The following is a 20,217-nucleotide window of genomic DNA, read 5'->3' on the forward strand; positions in this document are numbered from 1 at the left end:
TAAATTCTTCTAAAACATTAGAAAAGTGAAGAGGAGAAAATTCTTCCAAACTCATTCTGAGTCCAGGATTACCCTGATGCCAAAACCAGACCAGGACACAACAACAAAAGAAAACTACATAGCAATATTCCTCATGAACATAGATGCAAAAATTCTTAACAAAATACTAGCAAACCAAATCCAACAATGTATAAAAAAGATAATTCACCATGATCAAGTGGGATTTATTCCAGGGATGCAAGAATGATTCAACATACATAAATTAATATATGAGATATATCTCATGAATAGAATGGACAAAACCGTATGATCATCTCAATAGACACAGAAAAGGCATTTGATAAAATTCAACATCCCTTCATGATTAAAAAAAAATCCTCGGCTGGGCGCGGTGGCTCTCGCCTGTAATCCAAGCACTTTGGGAGGCTTTGAGGAGGGCGGATCATGAGGTCAAGAGATCGAGACTATCCTGGCCAACATGGTGATACCCTGTCTCTACTAAAAATACAAAAATTAGCTAGGTGTGGTGGCGTGAACCTGTAATCCCAGCTACTCGGAAGGCTGAGGCAGGAGAATCGCTTGAACCAGGGAGGCAGAGGTTGCAGTGAGCCAAGATTGCGCCACTGCACTCTAGCTTGGGAGACAGAGCGAGACTCCATCTCAAAGAAAAACAAAACAAAACAAAACAAAAAAAACCCTCAACAAACTAGGTACAGAAGGAACATACCTCAATGTAACAAAGGTCATATAGGACAAATACAGCTAACATCATTTTAAACAGGGAAAAGCTGAATTTCTCCTCAAAAAATTGGAACAAGACAGGATGCCGTCTCTCACCACTCTAATTCAACATAGTACTAGAAGTACTATCCAGAGCAAACAGGCAAGAAAAAGACATAAAGGGCATCCAAATTGAAAAGGAGGAAGTCGAATTGTCCCTATATGCAAGTGACATGATTGTATATGTGGAAAATCCTAAAACTGCCACCAAAAAAATTCTCAAAATGAATTTAAAAATGTAGTCAAGTTGCAAGATACAAAAGCAACATGCAAAAATTACTAGCCATGTGCCTGTAGTCCCATCTACTCAGGAGGCTGAGGCAGGAGGATCACTTGAGCCTGAGAAGTGGAGGTTGCAGTGAGCCGAGATCACACCACTGCACTCCAGCCTGGGTGACTGAGTGAGAACCTGTTTCAAAAAAATAAATAAACAGGCCGGGCATGGTGGCTCACACCTGCAATCCCAGCACTTTGGGAGGCCTAGGCAGGTGGATCACCTGAGGTCAGGACTTCGAGAACAGCCTGGCCAACATGGTGAAACCCCGTCTCTACTAAAAATACAAAAACTAGCTGGGTGTGGTGGTGGGCACCTGTAATCCCAGCTACTTGGGAGGCTGAGGCAGGAGAATTGCTTGAATCTGGGAGGCAGAGGTTGCAGTGAGCCGAGATCACGCCACTGCACTCCAGCCTGGGCGACAGAGCGAGACTCTGTCTCAAAAAATAAAAATAAAATAAGAAATAAATAAATTAGTAGCATCTCTACATCCCAATAACAAACTAGTGGAAAAAAATCAAGAAAGTAATTCCATTTACAATAGCTACAAAAAAAATACCTAGGAATAAATTCAACCAAGGATATGAAAGAGCTCTACAAGGGAAACTGTAAAACACTGGTGAAGGAAACTGAAAAATTAAAAAAAAAAAAAAAAAAGAGTGTGGGCCGGGGGGAGACATCCCTTGTTCATAGATTGGAAGAATATTGTAAAAATATTAATAATACCAAAAGCAATCTATAGCTTCAACACAATCCATATCAAAATACCTAAGACATTCTTCACAGAAATAGAAAAAACAATCCTAAAATTCTTATGAAATCACAGAAGACTCTGAATAGCCAAAGCAATCCTGAGCAAAAAGAACAAAGCAAGGCCAGGCATAATGGCTCACACCTGTAATCCCAGCACTTTGGGAGGCTGAGGCAGGTGGATCACTGGAGTCCAGGAGTTTGATGCCTGCCTGTGTAACATGGCAAAACCCCACCTCTACAAAAAATTAGCAGGGCGTGGTGAGGGAGGCTGAGGCTGTAGTGAGCCGTGATCACATCACTGCACTACAGCCTGGGTAACAGAGTAAGACCCTGTATCAAGGCGGGGAAAAAAAAACAACACAGCTGGAGGCATCACCCACTAATCACGCACTACCTGATGTCAAAATATACTACAAAGCTACAGTAACCAAACAGCATGTTACTGGCATAAACAGACAAAGAGACCAAGGGAAGAGAGGAGAGAACCCAGAAATAAACCCACATATTTGGAACCAGCTAATTTTCAACAAAGGTGCCAAGAACATTCAGTAGGGAAAGGATGGTCTGTTTAGAGAAATGAAACTAGACCCCTATCTCTAACTATACAAAAAAAAACAAATCAAAATGGATTAAAGACTTAGATGTAAGACCTGAAACTATGAAACTACTAGAATAAAACATTGGGGAAATGCTTCATGACATTGGTCTGGGCAAAATCTTTCAGGTAAGACCTCAAAAACACAGGCAACAGAAGCAAAAATAAACAAATGGAATTTCAGCAAGCTAAGAAGCTCCTGCACAGCAAAGGAAACAACTGAGTGAAGAGACAACCAGTAGAATAAGAGAAAATATAATATATGCAAACCATGTATCTAATAAGGGATTAATTAATAGCCAGGATATATATGCAATTCAAACAACTCAATAGCAAAAAATAGTAAAAATAATAATCTGATTTAAAAATGGGCAAATGATCTTCACAGCCATTATCAAAATCAGTTTATCAAAAACATGTGTGTACGTCCATGTTTATTACAGCTCTATTCATAATAGCAAAGATATGCAATTAACCTAAGTGTCCATTAACAGATAAAGGACAAAAAAATGTGGTACATATACACACAAGGAAATACTATTCACCCATAAAAAAGAATGAAATTCACACCTGTAAGCCCAGCTCTCAGAGAGGCGAGGTGGGAGGATAGTTTGAGCCCAGGAGTTTGAGACCTGACTGGGCAGTATAGCGAGACCCCGGTTCTCCACAAAAAGGAAAAAAAAAAAAGACACACACACAAAAAAAGAATGAAATTCTGTCATTTGCAGCAACACAGATGGAACTGGAGGCCTTTATAATAACTGAAATAAGGTAGGCAGGGAAAGACAAATATCACATGTTCTCGCTCATGTGAAAACTTAAAAAGTTGATCTCATATAGAATGATGGTTACCAGAGGCTGGGAATGGTTGGGTGTGGGGAGGATGAAGAGAGCTTGGTTAATGGGTACAAACATACAGTTAGAAGCAATAAATTCTAGTGTTGATAGCACAGCAGAGTGACTATAGTTAACAATAATTTATTGTATATTTCAAAATAGCCAGAAGAGTAGATTTGAAATGTTCCCAACACAAAGAAATGGTAAATGTTTGAGGTAATGAGTAGCTTAACCACCCTGACTTGATAATTACACATAGATATGCATGTATCAAAATATCACATATATCCCATAAATAGGTATATTATGTATCAATTTTAAAAATGAACCGCCTACTAGGTATTTAACAAGTTAACTGGCTTTCTCTGCCCAATGAGATTTTGTTTTGACTACTGCATTTGTGAAGTTTCAACTGGGGTCTTGTTAAGGCTGGACACAGTGGTTCATGCCTGTGATCCCAGCACTTTGGGCAGCCAAGGTGAGAGGATCACCTGGGGCCAAGAGTTCAAGACCAGCCTGGTCAACATAGTGAGACTCCATCCCTACAAAAAACTAAAAATATTAGCCAGCTATGGTGCATTGCGCCTGTAGTCCCAGCTACTTGGGAGGCTGAGGCGGGAGGATGACTAGAGCCAAAGAATTTGAGGCTGCAGCAAGCTACGATTGCACCACTACACTCTAGCCTCAGAATCAGAGCAAGAGTCCGTCTCTTTAAAAAAAAAAAAAAGGGGGGGGGGGAGGAATCTTGTCATTTTTTAATTTGAGGATTAGCTTCTCCTTTATAAGAGAGCCAAATCAGAAGAGTCACTAGATTACAATAGCTGCTGGGAAGCCAGGATATGGGAGCCTAGACTTAGAAATTTCAGGTTATGTCAGAGACCTCCATTTTCCTGTCATTTACTGCAAAGAATCCTATTATCCTGCCGTTTACCTACCCTCTAAACCCTCAATCCTCTTTCATTTGCTCTGGTCCTTGCTGACTCATCCCCTCCCTCCCTTTTTCCTCCCACTTCAGCTGCATGCTTGGTTCTGGCTTATTCATCTTCTAGTCAATTAACGAACATATACCACGCTGTTGTCATGTGGTCAGCTATGGAGTCATTCTCATACTGTCACTCTTCCTAATACGGATCTGTTTCGGCCACAGACTCTTTCATATCTCTGCCCCAAACCTCTCATCCACCAAATCTTGTTCCTGTGTGCTAGAATACAAGCAAAACTGAGAGCTATGCTGGAAAAAAGATTTATGGATTGGAAAATTTTTAAATTGATAATGTATGTATCTTCCTAAGTAAAAGACCCTAAGGAAATACTGAAACCTAAAATCATTCCCATAAAAAGAAAAGAAATTAAAACTTGCCTATGGTGACCATAATACAATTAACATAACATTGATGATTGAAGAAAATAAGAAAAATAGTTATAAGATTTTACAATTTGGTTTCTATAAGAAATGAAAAAATGATAGCTAACAGGAAAATAAAATGCTTATTCTCAGTTTCAAGGTTCTCATGGTCCCCTTTACTTTCTTCCCTGATTATCTTGGAGATATCAATTCTTAAGCATTAAGTCTTGAAAATCTTGGTGGTAAAACTGTAATCAAGAAACAAAGCTTGAAAAGTGTGACCACTCACTAGAAAACAAAGTGGAATGGAAGAGAAAGAGTTAGAGATCACACAAGGAAAAGCAGAGACAATGTGGAAGACCTCCAACCAGAACCACATTCACAATTACCCAGTGCTGTCATTTTTGTTCTATCTCTACATAATTAGAGAATTGGTATGAATTTCTAGATCAGGTCATCAATGTGAAACTGGGGTCCAAAAGGCCAAGGTAATGATTAAGAGTTGGGTACTGAAGAAAATGGTCATAGTCCCAGGACAACAAAAAGTTCCTATTTTAGGAATTTAATGTCTCAAGCTCTGGATATCACAGCAATAGGTATTCTTTAAATTCATAATCAATCATTTTTCCCAAATAATTTCATACATTTATAAGCAATGATTAATTCACTGAACAAACCTAAGTCACAATGGGCTTTTTGTTTAAGTATTCATTGTCAGGAAATCCAAATATTTTATAATTCACTGGACAGTAATGAACAATGACAGACAAAACACTAGTGAGTAAAAACACTAATTATGTTACTGTGGTCTTTGTGTGGCTTTGGCACAAAAGGTTGTTTATTTACAATGCTGCAACATCACCTTGGTAATCAAAAGAGTGGCATATGCGCACTGGCTGCTCAAACATTAACTACCAATGAGTCATACTTGCAGCTGAGAACTTACTCTGAAAAAATAGGGGGAGGAATGCTGTGCCTCTAAGTTAAAAACAAGCTCTGGTGTTCATGCTCACATTTACAAGGACACATGGTGAAATCTTGTCTATTTTCTTGTCAATTGATCTTCTTTCAAAATAAATTTCCTTTTTTTAACCATCACAAGGAATATTTTTATTAATAACATTGGTAAAAATCTAAAAAGGCAAGCTTATTAAATCTTTCTAACTTCTTTCTGCCACTGAACTACTTGCTGACTGCTATGTGACAGAATGACATCACACCAGGCCTTAAGATACGCTTGAGATACAAGGGTAAAGAAGACACAAGGCTTGTTTTCAAGGAGCTTATAATCTTATGGCAGGGAGTGGGGAGAGTGGGACCAATATGCAATTACAATAAAAAAATAGTCAATGCCTAATCATCAATAGGATAATATAATCAGGATTTTAAAAATATCCCAATGTTCTTCCTCATCTGGACTCTGGAAAAAATAAAATAAAAAATATGGCCAGGCACGGCGGCTCACATCTGTAATCCCAGCACTTAGAGAGGGCGAGGCAGGCAGATCACGAGGTCAGGAGATCAAGACCATCCTGGCCAACATGGTGAAACCCCGTCTCTACTAAAAAAATACAAAAAATTGGCCAGGCGTGGTGGCTCACGCCTGTAATCCCAGCACTTTGGGAGGCCGAGGCAGGCGGATCACGAGGTCAGGAGATCGAGACCATCCTGGCTAACATGGTGAAACCCCGTCTCTATTAAAATTACAAAAAAAAACTAGCTGGGCATGGTGGCGGGCGCCTGTAGGCCCAGCTACTCGGGAGGCTGAGGAGGAGAATGGCGTGAACCCGGGAAGCGGAAGTTGCAGTGAGCCGAGATAGTGCCACTGCACTCCAGCCTGGTGACATAGCAAGACTCCATCTAAATTTTAAAAATAATAAATATATAAATAAATGGCAAACTTGGGCCTAATATGAAGAACTTCAAATACACTGGACTTTCCCACATTAAATTAGCCTGAAGAGTGGTGAACTCTATGATTAGAACTAAGTAGTCAAGCCGATTTAGATGACTGTAAGAAAATCCTAAAAGTAATTCTTACACTAGCGGGTAGGGGTAGCAAGGGGATTTGAAACAGAAAACTAAAGCACTTCCTATCTTGGAAAAGTCTGCAGCTACCTTGTTAGTTGCAGGCAAGGGTATTAAGATGATGCCCACCGCAGCTATTTTAGAAGTAGTGGGTGATCTCAAGAAGCAGAAAAGAGGCCAGTAGTCACCACTGAACTGCATATAGGACCTAGAAGGCTTTGTGACCTTTACATGTTTGTTAGAAAAGGTACTGGGAGACAGACCAACGATGGCCAGCCTACCTGACTATGAGTCAACAGTTGGCCTAACCAGTACAACAGAGCCCTCCTATTCCCACTCATGACAATGATGGATATACCAGTCTCAGAGATTCCAGTTTTTCCTTGCTGCTTAAGTGAAAAGCAATTTGTATAGTCACCTTTCCTCTAATGCCCTCCCTGTTTACTCCTCGCTTTCAGTGCACAGAGAATGCTGAAACTTCAAGAGCTTGCAATTTTCTGTATTTGGGAAGAGTACCAACCCAGCAGCACAGATGTTATTCCTACCTAACAAATACATTAGATTTTTTTTGGCTCTATATTGAAAAGGGAAGATTGGTCTGATTTGGTGGATCTATTTGAAAGGGCTTACAGAGGAAATCCTGAAAACTGGCCTGTCCACTTCCCCACTTAAACTTCTAAGCTGGACTGGATTAAGCATGTTGTTACCTGACCCTTGGATTTATGAGACATATACAAACATGCTTATCATAAATGGGCTGTGACAGTCTTTTCCCTAAAACTTATGAAACCTAGAATAACTTAACAACATTATAAAACCAGGAATGTAAGAGGAACAACAATTAAAATGTAGTCCTGGGGCATGTGGGAAGATAAGCCTCAAGTTATGTATACACCCTGTGAACTCAGTTGCCAGTCTTAAATCTTATGCCAAAAACACTCCAATCAATTAACAAATATATACTGAGAGGCTACTGTGAGCAAGAATTCATATTAAGTTCAATGAAAGACAAGTCCATTGTGGGCTCCCTGGGTTATAACTATAGCTGATTATTGCTATAGTCAGGGTATAATAAAACTTGAATAACACACAATGACTCATATAATTCTAAATATTTTAGGATGCAGAACTCAAATTCCTTCAGTAGTACCTTCATAGGGTTACTTGAAATAGAACAAACAGTATGATGGCTCATGCCTGTAATCCCAGCATTTTGGGAGGCTGAAGGCAGGAGGATCACTTGAGCCCAGGAGTTCAAGACCAGCCTGGGCAACATGGCAAAACCCCATCTCTACTAAAAATACAGAAAATTAGCCTGGTGTGGTGGTGCATGCCTACAGTACCAGCTACTCAGGAGGCTGAGGCAGGAGAACTGCTTGAGCCTAGAAGGCCCAGGCTGCAGTGAGCCGTGATCGTGCCACTGCACTCCAGTCTGGGTGATGGGAGTGAGACCCTGTCTCCAAAACAAGAAAGAAAGAAAGAAAAAAAAAATAGAAACCAAGCTTTAGTCATTCATATAAAACCTGTCACAGTGAAGGGGGCATAAAGCAGAGGAAATTCTACTAATGTCAAATAGTGAAAATAGCTCTGAAAGATTTCATCTTCTGAGAGACTTGTCCCTACAGGTAAACATTAGCAAAACATTTTTCTGGAAGCCAGTAAGATATTTGAGAAATTAGAGCTTTTTGGTAAAAACAAACATTTTTTACAGTGATTAACTTAATTTTTAAAAATTGCCGAAGGTCATAGGTTATTACAATCATATGGATAGCTCTTGCAAATTAATGAGGACAATGGATAAAATGACGGTTCTGTAATATTTCAGAATGTATATTTTAGTATGTCTTCAAAACAGATAAACCATCTCAGTATGGTAAAGTATATTTTGCAAATTACCAACATTTCCTCCTTTCTTTTGGTATAAGTAAAGAAAAGAGAATGAACTGCTGAAAAGCAAATCCTTCACACTATGAGTATTTGACAAGTGGAAGGCATCTGCAGGTTGGTCTGTGGGCATAGTCATAGCAACACAGTTCCCCTGTCAACTCAACTCCAGGAACCAGAGCGCAAGTAGCTTTGTGGTTGACTATGTTTATTTACCTATCCGGCAAGCAGGGGAGATAGATGGTTTGGTAAAAAGGGCAAACCAGACAAAAAAATTTGTATATTTTAGGGCTTCCAGCTAAGATACATACTAAGTAAGTGGAGAGAAAAGACTTGACTTACCTGCACTGCCAAGCTGTTTATAAAATCTGTACTCTAAATGAAGCTGTGGAGCACGTGATTTTATTGGTTCCTGAAATCCAAAAAGAAAAACTGTGATCAGATTTAAACAAATGGGATTTTTCCATTCTTAAATTTTTGGAGTAAACGAGGGCTAAGATCACCCAATGTTTTAGAGATAATATCCATATATAAGAGCCTTTTCTAACCACAATTGGTCTTGGACAGTATAGCTAAGAGAAGATGAAGGTGAATTACATACAAGTCCTTCCATGGATAGTTAAATAAAAATAGACTTTGCATGAGCTATCATTCAAGGATATCTTTCTTGCAATGAAATATTCTCCTGGAATGTATTCTGCCAGGAAACTTGATGCCAAACCTTTAAATAAAAAAATACCAGAATGTATTTCCTGCTTGTTTTGTTCAGAATTTTGGGTGGTTCATGGTTTTATTATTTTTAGAAAAATAATGCATGCTCAGAAGAAAATTCAAATATACAAAAATTAGGAAGAAAGTAAAAATCATCTGTGATCCTGTCACTTTAAAGAGAGGCACTATTAACATTTTAGTGAATGTCTTTCAAAGTATTTATTTATCTATATATGTATTAATATATATAATATAGACTAATGAACTTAATTTTATATAAATGAGATTATAATATATTTGCTGTTCATTAATGTGCTATTGAATTCAACAATGTAATAACATATTCCCATGGCGGTAAATAAACGTGTATAATTTCTTTTTTTTTTTAAGACAGGGTCTTGCACACTGCAGTCAAAACCTCCCAGGCTCAAGTCATCCTCCTATCTTAGCCTCCCGAGTGGCTGGGACCACAAGTGTGTGCCACCACTCACAGCTAATTTTTAATTTTTTGTAGAGATAGGATCTTACTATGCTGCCTAGGCTGGTCCCAAATTCCTGGGCTCAAGCAATCCTCCCACTTCAGCCACCCAAAGTGCTGTGGGATTATAGGCATAAGCCACTGCACCTGGCTTATATTATTTTAATGGTTTGAGTATTGCCCTGTATGTGGATATGTATTTATGTATGTATGTATACACACCCTCCCCATAATTTTTGGACACGTGAACTGTTTTCATTTTCCAATATTATGAACAATGCTTTTAGGAACATCCTTATGTATATTTCTTTTTAAACTATTGAGAATTAAAGATTGTAAATGCAATTAAAATATGTAACTTCAATCAATGTGGTGTTCAAGTTTCCAAAAATGGAGTTTTCTAAAAACCTCAGAGATAAAGCAGCCAAACAACCATACTTTGCTCTATACCAATTGAGCAACTGGCTGGCTGATTATTCTAAACTGACAGTGTACTGGGCAACTGGCTAACAAGAAAACCAAACATTACCCTAAACACATTATAATCTCTCTTTAAAACCTCAACAGTAGCTGACATGGTGGCTCATGTCTGCCAACCCAGCACTTTCAGAGGCTGAGGCAGGAGGATCACTGGAGACCAGGAGTTTAAGACCAGCCTGGGCAACACAGCAAAACCTCATCTTTACAAATAAATAAATAAAATAGGACGGGCATGGTGGCTCATGCCTGTAATCCCAGCACTTTGGGAGGCTGAGACGGCAGAACTGTTTGAGCCCAGGGGTTCGAGACCAGCCTGGGCAACATAGGGAGACCTTGTCTCTACCAAAAATTAAAAAATTAGCCTGGCAGGGAGGCACGCTCCTGTAGTCCCAGCTACTCAGGAGGATGAGGTGGGAGGATTGCTTGAGTCCCAGAGATCAAGACTGCAGGGAGCTGTGATTGTGCCACTGTACTCCAGCCTGGGCGACAGAGTGAGACCTTGTCTCAATCAATCAATAAATAAAATAAAGCTCAACATCTGCACACCCATTAGGATGGCTATTATCAAAAACAGAAAAATAACAAGTGTTGATGAGGATGTGGAGAAACTGGAACCCTTGTGCACTGCTGATGGGAATGCAAAATGGTGCGACCGCTCTGGAAAATGGCATGGCAATTTTTCAAAAAATTAAAGACAGAATCATTATGATTTACAATTCTATTTCTGGATAGATGCTCCAAAGAAGTGAAAGCAGGAACTCAGATTTATTTGTACATCCATGTTTATAGCATTATTATGCACAATAACTAAAAGGTGGAAGCGACCTAAGTGTGCATAATTGGATGAATGGATAAACAAAATTGGGTATATACATAGGGTGAAGTATTATTCAACCTTAAAAAGGAAATTCTGACACATGCTACAACACGGGCAAACCTTGAGGACATCATGCTCAGTGAAATAAGCCAGTTACAACGGACAAATATTGAATGAGTCTACTTAATATTAAGTACCCAGTAGCCAGGCGCGGTGGCTCACGCCTGTAATCCTAGCACTTTGGGAGGCTGAGGCGGGTGGATTGCCTGAGCTCAGGAGTTCGAGACCAGCCTGGACAACACGGTGAAACCCCGTCTCTACTAAAATACAAAAAATGAGCCAGGAGTGTCAGCGTGCGCCTGTAGTCCCAGCTACTCAGGAGGCTGAGGCAGGAGAATTGCTTGAACCCGGCAGGTGGATACTGCAGCAAGCCTAGATCGCACCACTGCACTCCAGCCTGGGCGACAGAGCAAGACTCCGTCTCCAAAAAAACAAACAATAAAAAAAATTAAGTATCTAGTGTAGTCAAATTCATAGAGACAGACAGAATGGTGGTTGCCAAGGGGTTGGGGGGAGGGGAGAATGAGGAGTTAGTGTTTAACAGATACAAAATTTCAGTTAGGGAAGATGAAAAAGTTCTGGAGATGGATGGTGGTGATGGTTGTACACCAATGTAAATGTACTTAATGCCATTGAACTTTTTTTTTTTTTTTTTGAGACGGAGTTTCACTCTTGTTGCCCAGGCTGGAGTGCAATGGCATGATATTGGCTCACCACGACCTCTGCCTCCTGGTTCAGCGATTTTCCTGCCTCAGCCTCCCAAGTAGCTGGGATTACAGGTATGCACCACCACACCTGGCTAATTTTTGTATTTTTAGTAGAGATGGGGTTTCTGCATGTTGGTCAGGCTGGTACCAAACCCCTGACCTCAGGTGATCCGCCTGCCTTGGCCTCCCAAAGTGCTGGGATTACAGGTGTGAGCCACTGCACCTGGCCAATGCCACTGCACTTTAAAAAACTGTTATAATGGTAAATTCTGGATATCATCTCTTATTAGATAATATTATTTTCTCCTATTCCTTTCCATGGGTTGCCCTTTTTAGAATTCTGTTGACAGTGTGCAAAAGTTTTAAATTTTGCTGAAGTCCAACTTAGCTAGTTTTTTTCTTTTGTTGTCTGTGATTTTGGTGTCATATCCAAGAAATCACTGCCAAATCCAATGTCATGAAGCTTTTCCCATGTGTATTCTAGTAAAATATTATAGTTTCAATCTTACATTTAGGTCTTTGATCCACTCTGAATTAATTGTTGAATACAATGTAAAGTAAGAATCCAACTTCACTGTTATGTGGGTATCCAGTTTTTCTGGCATCATTTGTTGAAAAGACTGTCCTTTCCCCCAATGAGTAGTTATTTGTCCTTTTTTTCTTTTTTCTTTTGAGATGGAATCTTACTCTGTCACCCAGGCTGGAGTGCAATGGCACAATCTCAGCTCACTGCAACCTCCACCTCCCGGGTTCAAGCAATTCTTCTGCCTCAGCCTCCCAAGTAGCTGAGACTACAGATGCACACCACCACACTCGGCTAATTTTTGTATTTTTAGTAGAGACGAGGTTTTACCATATTGGCCAGGCTGGTCGCAAACTCCTGACCTCGTAATCCACCCACCTCAGCCTCCCAAAGTCCTGAGATTACAGGCATGAGCCACCACACCCCGCCTATTTGTCTTATGTTTAAGACAGACTCCAAGGAAGGAGATTCCATAACTTCCCTCGACAATTCATGCTGATGTTGAACAAGTTTCATGGTTTGGAACACTTTTATATTATACTCAAATCTCACTACTGAAACTTAAGCCTATTTTTCTTAAGTCCTCAGCAAAAAAATAAAAAAGCTCCTCAATAACCACGAATACTATTAAGTAGCTCTCTTCAAATAACAAAACTTACTTTTCTCAGGCTTTCCTAGACTTTCTTTTCTTAGGCAAAGTAATTTCAAATTCCTTTCACCTTTCCTCATTGGTCCTAGTTTTTAATTCTTTGATCATCTTTGAAGGCTCTTTCCTGAATCCACTTGAAGTTTTCTGCATTTTTCTTAAGATATAGAATCCATTAATCAAAGAATTCAGAAGTTTCTCCGAAGTTGTCTAGTCTATCCCTCTGCTTCTAGGAAGATTTTCTCTAAATCAATTCAGGCCAGACTGGAATGTTTGTATCTGTAGGAAGCGCTATGAAGAAAGAACTCATACCCTTGTTTGAGTATAAAATCAGCAATCATTAGAGTTGGACTTCAAGTGTCTCAAGACTTTCAGTAAAAAGAAAAGTACATAAGACTAATTATACTGTAGAGTCCCTTTCTTATTTATCTCTTCAGATAGAGAGGTATCATATCACTCTTATGTCTCCATCTGGTTGCAGATATTCCACTGAATCACTATCAAAGCAGCCAGGTATAGAATTTTTCCATTAGCAAAATAACTAAGAATTCACAAGGAACCAAACAGAAACAGTGATGACAAATCAACATGGAACTAGAAGTCGATCAAAACACTAGAAAAGGGACTATTCTTTCCAGAGAAATCGCTTTTGGATTCTGACAAACCACAGAGGCAATGAATTTTAAAAACCACACATCCTTCCTCAAATATTATACTCTCAATCTTCATGCTGGAAAGCATAATAGAAAATATTCAATCTGACGTTGGGTAGCCAAGCTAGTAAATTAAAAATGCAAAACTCCATAGAGTTCAAGGGTTGAAAGGCATACACATCACATATATTCAGACATGAGGGTCTTATTATGAAGACTGAGAGAATTACACACTTCAGCCAACTCCTTAGCACATGGCCATAGCCTGCTCAGCCAATTGGGCTTCAAGGTGCTTTTCTGGAAGCACTATAAGTAGAAGGCATTGCAAAACTCAGTCTACAGACTACAGAAGGCAGCAATATTAGCAGCACAGGAGATTTTTTTTTAAACCCAACTGTTAGAAAACCTCTGTTAAAAAGAACCCTAGAAATGTGGGTGATGGATAAAGGAGGGGCTCATTACACTATTTTGTTTACTTTGTGTACGATTTTTTTAAAGGTTTTTAGAAATCTAAGAAATCTAAGAAAAAAGAGTCCACAATGAAGATCCAAACAAAGTACAACAGAAACAGCAGCAGCAGAGCTTCCTTGCATTTCTGTGCCAGATGCTGATTACATTTCCATAGAGGGCTGTGCATTTGCCAGAATATTTACCATATTCTGGAAAACATATGCCTGCCTAAAATCCTAAACAAACAGCAGACAGCTACCTTATAGGAGTGTAGTGCTTAAGGCAAATTGACCATTACAATCCAAAGAGCTCAATTACTGCCTTCATATCTTCCTTTGGAGAACAGAAGCCCAAAAGCAAGAATGAAAGCCTGTAGACAAAACTGTTATCCTCTAAAATGGCTTTGAGACTTATTTGAAAGAGAAATGCGGTACTGAGTCACACCATACTAGATTGTAAGAGTTCCATTTTTAGCTTTAAATAGTGGCCATACAAAGCAGAATAAAAGTTTTTAAAAAGGAAATGAAATGTAACGATCAATCATGTCAACAATATGTTATGTAAGCTTATCTATACAGGTTGATTGGTATAACCTGGCAGAAGAAATCAAGATGAAAGAACTGTCCCTAACAGAAAGCCTAACAAATATGTAGTAATGTAGCAAATTTTTAAAGTGTTTTAGGAAGTGCTTTGTTCTCTTAGAAGTCCCAAATAATCAAAGATTATTCCAACTTATCAGAATAATAAAACAGAAAAAGTAAAAAAAGCAGGTGTACTAGAGAACACTTTTAAGAATAACCAAATTCCTATAAATTAAAAAATATGGTTAATATTATTTTTTTGAGACAGGGTATCACTCTGTCACCCAGGCTGAGTGCAGAGGTGCAAGCAATCTCAGCTCACTGCAGTCTCGACTTCCTGGGCTCAGGTGACTTCTTCCACATCAGCCTCCAAAGTAGTGGGGACTATAGGTGTGTGCCAGCATACCTGACTAATTTTTTGTATTTTTTGTAGAGACAGGGTTTTGCCTTGTTGCCCAGGCTGGTCTTGAACTTCTGGGCTCAAGCAATCTGCCTGCCTTGGCTTCCTAAAGTGCTTGAATTACAGGCATGAGCCACTGTGTCTGTTCGGTTAATCCTCTAATATTCAATCTAAGAGGATATTTGACCTGCATTGTTACATGTATTACCTCTCTTCCTGCTCCCATCTATCCAACAAGAGTTCCAAGTCAAAATACAAAAATACTTGGTTTCCTAGAAGGTACCTGCTGCTCTAAGCCCTGCTCCCTGTCCACCCACCCCTTTGTAGGGAAACAAATCTGGTAACTGTCAGTTCCTCACAAGACAACCCTAACTCCTCCACAAGCAAGCTGGATGAGAAGAACAACCAATCACAGAACAAGTGTGGATGTGGTAAGTGCAATTCATTAGAAAATAACAATGCCAGGCGTGGTGGCTCACGCCTGTAATCCCAGCACTTTGGGAGGCCGAGCTGGGCAACATGATGAAATCCCATCTCTACAAAAAATACAAAATTAGCCAGGTGTGGTGGCATGTAGTCTGTAGTCCCACCTACTTAGGAGGCAGACTGAAGTGGGAAGATTGCTTGAGCCCAGGAGGCGGAGGTTGCAGTGAGCCAAGATCACATCACTGCACTCCAGCCTGGGCAACACTGTGAGACCCTGTCTCCAAAAAAAAAAAAATAAAGAAAGAAAGAAAAAGAAAAGAAAAGAATAGCATAGATTTCCTTCAATTTCCTTCAACCATTAACTCCTCTGGCTTCCAACTAATAAAACAAAGCTACCTGTAAATCCTGGGACACTTACTATGAGGACAAACACAGAGTTTCAGTGAAACTAGTCATACGAAACATTTCACATGAAAAAATGGTTTTGTTATCAACCTTAAATATAAGATAAAGAATTCTGTCTTTTAAAATTATTAGTCCTCAAAAATAATAAAATTATTACTTTTTTAAATAGGATATCATTTTCTATGACTAGTTTAATTATTCACAAGGTTAGTACTAATATACCAATTGACTTCTTTGCTTCTAATATGACCATATGGTATGTTTTCCATGCTTGACAGATTTTTAAGGCCATGATTAGATGATCAGTTATGATTTTCTTCTAAGTACAAAAAATAAATCAGTTAAGTTAGAGAAAAAAACAGTAAAATTTTTGAATGATTTTATCTTTTTAAGATACCTCTGTGAAAGATTAAGTTCACAGAGTTACTAGTTCTTCCAGCTTTTTTTAATCAACTAATTTTTGAGTCATCATTGCTAACACTAAAGTTAGTATCATTTAACTATATAGTGTTATATAGTATACAGTGATTCATCACTGTTAACACTATAAATGAAGAAAAATGTGGGATCATACACAAAAAAAACCCCAAACCATTAGCAGTTTTGCGAATGAATGCTTAAAACTATTTCCTATAAAAAGATATAAGCAATGGGAGCACCAAAACATTAATTACCACAAACAGATTCTACTCACCAGTTTGATTGCTACATATTCATTGGTGTAGAGATTTTTACCTAAGAGGAAAGCAGAATGTATATGTTTTAGTGACATTTATTCTGGGAAAAGCAAAGCAAAATATTAGCTTACAGGGTCATGAGAAAGGTTATATTCCCAATGCTGTTCACATAAATGAAACTTGATTTATAAGCGAAAAGCTACAGAGATAATGAGATCTAGCAAGGCTAGAACAGCTTGAAAATTTAGAAATTTAAGCTATACCTGAGAATTTTCCTAAAAGAGAAAACAAATCTCTCTTACACACACACACACACACACACACACACACACACACACACATGCATGCATATTAATATTTCCCAACTATTAAGCCACAAGGCAATTCAAGAAGAAATGCCAGAATTTCAAAGAGATTTTAGCTCTTGGCACAATAAACACAAACCTTCATTCTTCGAACTAACTGGCAAATAGAATTCTATATATTTTGTCATGGTATTTCGTGTCAACTTTGGATGGCATAAAGGACAGTGTGAATAAAACCAATTATTGCCCAAACCTACTTTTGGAGAATTCATCTACTGCTTGTAAGGAGATGATTCTCAAAGCTGTTTTGACTGTTTACCAGAACAACAGACTTATATCTTTAACTATTTACAGGAAACAGATCTTCAGCTAGACAACACTTACACATCTCAAAGTTCTTCCTGCAATAACGGTTTTTCCTTTAAACTTTCCTATTTCTACAAATGTAATCAATATTCCCAGACGTTTAGACTAAGAACTTGGAATGATGATGAGGGCCAGAGCAACAACATTCACTTACTGAACCTGTAATATATGCTGGATACTCAGCTCCTCTCACCTCCCCATCCTCACTAATCCTTGGAAGCCTTAACTTTAATTCCTCCTGAGTGCTTAGTACATATCATGTAGTTCAGCCACTGCACTGAACTTCGCATCTCTTCTTACACGTTTGCCTTCTTATCCAGCTAGAGTGTAAATATCTTGAGGATAGGGATTTTAAGTTTTCTCAATACCCTATGGTGCTTAAGACCATGTTCAGCACATATAAAACACTCAAAATCTCGACTGATTAAAAGTTATTGGTACTGTACGTACAGCATAACTATTTTTAAAATATACCAGTAAATGTTATATTTCTGTAATACATAGCGGAATATATGTGCGTGAAAAAGAATATAAAAGGAATATAAAATAGTTTTACTATTTTAGTATTTTCTGATTTTTATATAATGCATTGTTTTTATAAATAAAAAAACAAGCTGGGTGTGGTGTAATCCCAACACTTTGGGAGGCTGAGGCAGGTGGATCACTTGAGGTCAGGAGTTCAAGACCAGCCTGGCCAACATGGTGAAACCCTGTCTCTACTAAAAATACAAAAATTAGCCGGGGGTGGTGGTGAATACTTGTAATCTCAGCTACTTGGGAGGCTGAGGTGGGAAAATCGCTTGAACCCAGGAGGTGTAGGCTACAGTAAGCCAAGATTACACCACTGTACTCCAGCCTGGGCAACAGAGTGAGACTCCATCTCATAAATAAACAAACAAACAAAAAAAGCTGCTTACAATACAAATTCTCATTTACAAACCTCTAGACAACAGAAGGCCCTCTGCAATATAACTACATCATTAAACTTTTCATACTGCCATCAGATTGCGAGTACCTTTACGTGTCAAAGAGTACACTAATTTAGGAATAATTTTTGTCTGCAAGTAAGATAAAAAGAAGACTAACAGGTTGGTTTCTTAGGTCAAACACCTCAGAAACCATAAGATGAATAACTTCTTTTTTAGGGGAGCACAAGTCAAAAATAGGCATTTCTCTCATATATATAGTGTTTGCATTAACCTTCTAAAGGTTACTTTATGTTTCTTATTAATGTTCCCACCAAAGCCATTTTAAAATATATTTCATGAAATTATAAAAAGGATAGTAATAAGTAAGAGAGGAACAGATGAGGCAGTAACAAACAGCCAATTCCCAGGCCGATTAAAACTTTAATTTGGCCCAGGACTTCTTGCACACCAGATGTGACTCTGCGCAAAGATTTTTCAGGACAGCTCTTCCTGAAATGAAATGAGCATTGTTACTGTGACTTAAAACTAGTTTTAGGGCCAGGTGCAGTGGCTCATGCCTGTAATCCCAGCACTTTGGGAGGCTGAGGTGGGTGGATCACCTGAGGTCAGGAGTTCGAGAACAGCCTGGCCAACATGGTGAAACTCTGTCTCTACTAAAAATACAAAAATTAGTTGGGGGTAGTGGTGGGCACCTGTAATCCCAGCTACTCAGCAGACTGAGGCAACAGAATCACTTGAACCTGGGAGGCAGAGGTTGTGGTGAGCTGAGATCATGCCATTGCACTCCAGCATGGGAGAGAGGAACAAAACTCTGTCTCAAAAACAACAACAACAAAAAACAAAACAAAACCAACTAATTTTAGCACAGGCTTAACCCTAAGAACTTAATTACAGCTCACACTTGTAATCCCAGCACTTGGGGAGGGCGAGGCAGGTGGCTCAAGAGGTCAGGAGTTGGAGACCAGTCTGACCAACATGGTGAAACCCTGTCTCTACTAAAAATACAAAAATTAGGCAGGCGTGGTAGTGTGCACCTGTAATCCCAGCTACTCAGGAGGCTGAGGCAGGAGAATCGCTTGACCTGGGAGGCAGAGGTTGCAGTGAGCCGAGATCGCACCATTGCACTCCAGCCTGGGCAACAGAGCAAGACTCCGTCTCAAAAAAAAAAAAAAAAAAGCCATTAATACCATTTTTCCCTGTTCCTACTTCCTGTATAATTGCAGAACATCAATGCTATCTTAAAGTTTAAAATGAAAGGTTTTATGACCTGATAAGATCTGTGATTTTGCATGAGCATTGTGAGGTAGTACAAGATTAACTAGAAAAATAAGAGAACAGAAGTAGGGAAAAGCATGTGAATATTTAATGCCCATCTACACAGATACCAGACATCTAAGATGAGCAACCTCAGTTCTCACCCTTCATAGACTGTATTCTAGCTCCTCACACAAGGTCTTGTATGTGGTGGCTCAAAAGTGTGTCAAATAAATCACATGATATAGTGAGTGTTAAAACAGAAATACAAATGAGTCAGTAGAAGAGCTTGGATACGGAGGGTAGTGAATTTGGGCACAAGCAGCACTTGAAGTGAGTCCTGACGGATGAACAGAGGAGAGAATAAAAGGCATTTTCTATTTTTAAAAAATACTAATTTGAACAATGATATGGATAAATGATAGAAAATGCACAGGATGTGATATACTGTGGGTAGACCCATATAATCGGAGCACATAGTGTGTGGGAAGAAACAGAAGAAAAGCCATAAACATCCACTAAGCTAAGGACAGGTTATGAATAATATCCAATGCCAGGTCCCCACTCTGAGGTATGTACCTGTGGGTACTTGGAAGTGTGCCAAGGCCTTTGTGCACTAAGCTACAGGACAAGTAAGATACACTTTTCTTGGATCCTAATTTTCATTTGAAGATTTGGATAAAGTCTTTTTATTTACATAAAAACAAACCTACTATATTATAGAAATTGTGCATAGATTTCTTTTGAAGAAAAAGATGCAGTCAGGCGCAATGGCTCACGCCTGTAATCCCAGCACTTTGGGAGACCAAGGTGGGTGGATCACCTGAGGTCAGGAATTCGAGACCAGCCTGAC

At 39.0% G+C, this 20,217-nt stretch overlaps 1 protein-coding gene across 4 annotated transcripts in view, besides 4 other annotated features; it reads right to left on the bottom strand.

The window, feature by feature from the left end:
• CSNK1G1 (casein kinase 1 gamma 1) overlaps window positions 1–20,217 on the bottom strand; it is a 190,649-nt gene that overhangs the window by 77,149 nt on the left and 93,283 nt on the right. For all 4 annotated transcript variants that reach the window (NM_001329606.2, NM_001329607.2, NM_022048.5 and 1 more), the window contains exons 3-4: window positions 16,528–16,568; window positions 8,839–8,908 (exon numbers count right to left, since the gene is read on the bottom strand). In NM_001329606.2, the coding sequence (NP_001316535.1) occupies window positions 8,839–8,908; window positions 16,528–16,568 (111 nt within the window). The remainder of the gene's footprint in view (window positions 1–8,838; window positions 8,909–16,527; window positions 16,569–20,217) is intronic.
• Window positions 3,306–3,806: an enhancer, noted in NCBI's record as "H3K27ac hESC enhancer chr15:64538178-64538678 (GRCh37/hg19 assembly coordinates)". NCBI's record gives its function as "activates a minimal SCP1, AML or CMV promoter by ChIP-STARR-seq in primed H9 embryonic stem cells {active_cell/tissue: H9 hESC(primed)}" and the evidence as "EXISTENCE:reporter gene assay evidence [ECO:0000049][PMID:30033119]".
• Window positions 3,807–4,307: an enhancer, noted in NCBI's record as "H3K27ac hESC enhancer chr15:64538679-64539179 (GRCh37/hg19 assembly coordinates)". NCBI's record gives its function as "activates a minimal SCP1, AML or CMV promoter by ChIP-STARR-seq in primed H9 embryonic stem cells {active_cell/tissue: H9 hESC(primed)}" and the evidence as "EXISTENCE:reporter gene assay evidence [ECO:0000049][PMID:30033119]".
• Window positions 4,428–4,487: an enhancer, noted in NCBI's record as "active region_9566". NCBI's record gives its function as "activates an Ori minimal core promoter by ATAC-STARR-seq in GM12878 lymphoblastoid cells {active_cell/tissue: GM12878}" and the evidence as "EXISTENCE:reporter gene assay evidence [ECO:0000049][PMID:35858748]".
• Window positions 5,377–5,671: an enhancer, noted in NCBI's record as "tiled region #12494; HepG2 Activating DNase unmatched - State 5:Enh". NCBI's record gives its function as "activates a minimal TATA promoter and a strong SV40 promoter by Sharpr-MPRA in HepG2 cells {active_cell/tissue: HepG2}" and the evidence as "EXISTENCE:reporter gene assay evidence [ECO:0000049][PMID:27701403]".

The sequence above is a fragment of the Homo sapiens genome, chromosome 15, assembly GCF_000001405.40.
Source record: "Homo sapiens chromosome 15, GRCh38.p14 Primary Assembly".
Classification (NCBI taxonomy): Eukaryota; Metazoa; Chordata; class Mammalia; order Primates; family Hominidae; genus Homo; species Homo sapiens.